This window comes from Homo sapiens, chromosome 1 (genome assembly GCF_000001405.40).
Source record: "Homo sapiens chromosome 1, GRCh38.p14 Primary Assembly".
NCBI classification, from domain to species: Eukaryota; Metazoa; Chordata; class Mammalia; order Primates; family Hominidae; genus Homo; species Homo sapiens.
Window position 1 is genome coordinate 23,262,062 of NC_000001.11, and position 4,773 is coordinate 23,266,834.

A 4,773-nucleotide genomic window follows, 5' to 3' on the forward strand; every position below is an offset into this window, starting at 1 on the left:
CCATGTATTGAGTGTGTGGTTGTTCTAGGCAGTAGGCTAAGCAGTTTCCATTTTATCACTTAGTTTTCACAAGAATCTTAGGAAATCACCATTAATAAACCAATTTTTCAAATGAAACTGATGCCTAAAGAGGTTTAAAAACTTTGAGTATGTGAGGATGGGGTAGAAGCAAGGATTGTCTTACTCTAGGGTCAGATCTGGGTTTTGTGGGGCCTGAAGCTTAGGCTACTGGGGGGGACCATCTTTAAGAAAATGATAAAAAAGGCCGGGCGCGGTGGCTCACGCCTGTAATCCCAGCACTTTGGGAGGCCGAGGCGGGTGGATCATGAGGTCAGGAGATCGAGACCATCCTGGCTAACATGGTAAAACCCCGTTTCTACTAAAAATACAACAAATTAGCCGAGCGTGGTGGCGGGCGCCTGTAGTCCCAGCTACTCGGGAGGCTGAGGCAGGAGAGTGCGGTGAACCCGGTAGGCGGAGCTTGCAGTGAGCTGAGATCGCGCCACTGCACTCCAGCCTGGGCGACAGAGCGAGACTCTGTATGAATTAAAAAAAAAAAAAAAGAAAAATGATTAAAAATTACAAATACAAATTTTGGCTGTGTGTGGTGACTCATGCCTGTAATCTCAGCACTTTGGCAGGTTCACTTGAGGCTAGGAATTCAAGACCAGTCCGGGCAACACAGTGAGCCCCGACTCTACTTTGGGAGGCCAAGGCAGGCAGATCACGTGGTCAAGAAAGCGAGACTATCCTGGCCAACACGGCGAAACCCCGTCTCTACTAAAAATACAAAAATTAGCTGGGTGTGGTGGCGTGCGCCTGTAGTCCCAGCTACTCGCTTGAACTCAGCAACCAAGGAGAATCGCTTGAACTCAGGAGGCAGAGGTTGCAGTGAGCCGAGATCGCACCATTGCACTCCAGCCTGGTGACAGAGCGAGACTCCGTCTCAAAAAAAAAAAAAAAAAAAATTATCAGACATAGTAGTGGCTCCCGTCTGCAGTCCCAGCTACTTGGGAAGCTTAGGTGGAAGGATCCCTTGAGCCCAGGAATTGGAGGTTGCAATGAGCCATGGTTGAGCCACTGCACTCCAGCCTTGGGGTGACAGAGCAAGACCCCCTCTCTAAAAAAAAAAAAGCCACAAAAATACAAATTTTTATAAGAAAGTGCTGGAGTAAAAGGAGATAATGTGTGACTGAGTGATCTTAACCAATTGCAGTTAAAAAATGTTTTTAACAAATTTTACAAAAAACGTTCACTCTGTGAACACATCATTCATTAGGACCTCCCTCAGCTCTTTGGAAGGAGCTAATAGTGTAAATGAAGGGTTTTGAGGCCACGACTTCATTAGCAACTCAATAAATCCACCTGTGCCTCTGCTGGAGCCGTGGTTTTCCACAAAGAATTGACAGGCCTAAAAGGTCAATAGTGCCTTGGCTGAGAAAGCTTGTGCTCCAGGGAGGAAACCTGAAGAAAGAGGTTGCCAAACTCTTCTTGGGTGGTCATTGATTGCACCCAAATTGCATTTTATGAGACTCTCAGATCCATTATCTCTCTTGGTCTTGGGAAGACAGTAGAGGGAGTTGGGATGGATTGTTCAGCTCTTTGCATTACAAATGTATCCTGGGTGACAGAGAGGGTGTCCTGCAGTTGCTCCCATGCTCCCTGACTCTCTTCTCTCTTCTCATTGTTGTCTCTCTTTAGGCCAGCCCTGTCCAATGCAAAGGCGAGCCCTGGTTCCATGGGTGAGGAAGGGATCTCTGGGTGCTTCCAGGCTGAACCTCTAGTCTGGTAAACATCTGAAAGCAAACACTCCTCTCCCATGAGAATTGGTCTCCTGGAGAGCATGCCTTTCTGAGTGACAAGTTAGTATTCTTCTGTTACCCTGATTTGTATCCTATTTGCTGTTAGATAGCTCTGGTCTTATTATGCAAAAGGTGCCTTTCCCCCGTCTTGCCCTGAATTGTATTACAAAGCTTCCTCAAATTAGGAAACATTAAAAGGTGCCCAGCTCAGCCCAAGCTTCTCCCCTCATCTTGGAGGAGGAAAGGGGAGCTGTTTCAGTTTATGCTGCCATATAAAGGGCTGTTGTTTGTTTAAGTTGCTGTATTCCATCCCTGGCACTGTCTCCAAGCATGATACTATGACGAAGCTTGTTTTTGTTTTGTTTTGTTTTGTTTTTTACAGCTCTTTTCTCTTTTCCTTCCTTCCTTCCTTTTTTTTTTTTTTTTTAACGAGGTCTTGCTTCATTGCTCAGGCTGGAGTGCAGTGGCATGATTATGGCAGCCTCAACCTCCAGGATCAAGTGGTCCTCCTACCTCAGCCTCCCAAGTAGCTGGGACCACAGACATAGGCTACCACGCCCAATTAATTGAAAAAATTTTTTTCAGCCTGGCCAACATGGTGAAACCCCATCTCTACCAAAAAGCACAAAAATTAGCCAGGCATGGTGGCAAGTGCCTGTAGTCCAAGTTACTCAGGAGGCTGAGGCAGGAGAATCGCTTGAACCTGGGAGGCAAAAGTTGCAGTGAGCTGAGATCACGCCACTGCCCTCCAGCCTAGGCGACAGACTGAGACCCTGTCTCAAAAAAATAAATAAAAATTTTATTTATTTATTTATTTATTTATTTTTTGTAGAGATTGGATCTCACTATGTTGTTCAGGCTGGTCTCGAATTCCTGGGCTCAAGCTATCCTCCTGCTTTGGCTTCTCAAAGTGTTAGGATTATAGGCGTGAGCCTCCGGGCCTGGCCTGATGAAGCTTCTTATTTAATTTTTGCTGCACTTAGGATGAATGAAGTGTGGAACCCTGAAAGACTGATTTAGGGAAAATCTATACACCCTGCCCCTAGCAGGTGTCTCTCTGCAGGTGATGGCTGAGGAATGCCGAAAACATGAAAGCCATGCCCTCCTTCCCCTCAAGGGGAGCTTGCAGATGAATTAGGGAAGGAGAGCTTGTGACAGATTTGGTAACACCTCTCTGACTTCTACCAACAGGTGCAAATTAACCTAATTCCCAAGCCACTATCAAAGTAACATCAAGGTGAAAATAATATACTTGGCCTAGGTGGTGAAGTGGTAGCAGTGATACTTCCTTGATCTGCACGTTTGGACTTGCCCATGTGGGGAGTTATCCAAATTATCCAAAAAAACTGAATCTTAACCCATCTTAACCCATTCTTTAAGACAATTTTCTTGATTTTTAATTAATTTTTTTTTAGATGGGGTCTTGCTCTGTTGCCCAAGCTGGGGTGCAGTGGCACAATCTCCGCTCACTGCAGGCTCCGCCTCCTGGGTTCAAGTGATTCTCCTGCCTCAGCCTCCTGAGTAGCTGGGATTACAGGTGCACATCACCACGCCTGGCTAATTTTTGTATTTTTAGTAGAGATGGGGTTTCACCATGTTAGCCAGGCTGGTCTCGAACTCTTGACTTCAAGTGATCCACCTGCTTTGGCCTCTCAAATGCTGGGATTACAAAGCATGAGCCACCACACCCAGCCCAATTTTTATTTTAGATGGAAGTCTTTCTTAAAAGGTTCATGTGCCGCAGCTCTACTGGAAAAGGAAGACGCTGAGTATGCAGTGAAAATCTCTAGACTTTCATCCTGTAAGCTAAGAATCAAAAGTCCCAAATTAAAATCCTAATTTTGCTCTCAAGACAATGCAATTGTTGAGTCCAGGAGTTCTGAGCTGTAGCATACTATGCCAGAATCCTCAGATGGGTTTCGCTATGTTGGCCAGGTTGGTCTCAAACTCCTGGCCTCAAGCAATCTGCCTGCCTCGGTCTCCCAAAGTGCTGGGATTATAGGCATGAGCCACCGCACCCGGCCTGTTGTTTTTGAGACAGGGTCTTGTTCTGTTGCCCAGGCTGGCGTGCAGTGGCACTATCATGGCTCACTGTAGCCTCAGCCCCCTGGGCTCAAGTGATTCTCCTGCCTCAGCCTCTTCAGTAGAAATTTTTTTTTAATTTTAATTTTTTTTGGTCTTGCTCTGTTGCTCAGGCTGGAGTGCAGTGGCGCAATCTCAGCTCACTGCGAGCTCCGCCTCCCGGGTTCACGCCATTCTCCTGCCTCAGCCTCCTGAGCAGCTGGGACTACAGCCGCCCACAACCACACCTGGCTAATTTTTTGTATTTTTAGTAGAGATGGGGTTTCACCATGTTAGCCAGGAGGGTCTCGATCTCCTGACCTCGTGATCTGCCCGCCTCGGCCTCCCAAAGTGCTGGGATTACAGGCATGAGCCACTGCACCCAGCCGAGTAGAAATTTTTTGTCTTGGCCTAAGCAGCAATGAGAAACCATGAGTCTATGATGGCAGAGGTACAGGGTCTTAGACTATGAGATTCAGAAGGCATCGTCAGGACTGTCTAAAACATTCTCTTCTCCCCATCTTTCACATCTTTTGAAATGAAGGCCCAGAAAGGGGCCCAGATGGATTGGGATTCATGAATCTTCAAGCATACACATTTTGGACTGCCCTCTTTAAAGAATGCAAAGTTACCAATACAGAATTAGGTACAGGGCCTTAAGCAGCCCATGCAAATGAGGGCTTGGGTTACAAGCTCACCCTTCTGATGGGGGAATGAATGGGATCTATTTTGGAAAAGAGTGAGCATGGGGCCTGGGGAACGTGTGAAAGGGGATGCCCATCCTCCAATTTGTACCTACTATAAGACAGAACAAACAGAGGAACATAAAGCCGGGGTGCTTTTTAGAGACCACAGAGATTAGAAGGGCTTCTGAGTGGCAAAGAATGATTGAGGTTATAGGACAGTGTAA

General features: G+C 46.5%; 1 annotated feature.

Annotated features, from left to right (window-relative positions):
• Window positions 1,216-2,050: an enhancer, noted in NCBI's record as "OCT4-NANOG hESC enhancer chr1:23589770-23590604 (GRCh37/hg19 assembly coordinates)". NCBI's record gives its function as "activates a minimal SCP1, AML or CMV promoter by ChIP-STARR-seq in naive and primed H9 embryonic stem cells {active_cell/tissue: H9 hESC(naive and primed)}" and the evidence as "EXISTENCE:reporter gene assay evidence [ECO:0000049][PMID:30033119]".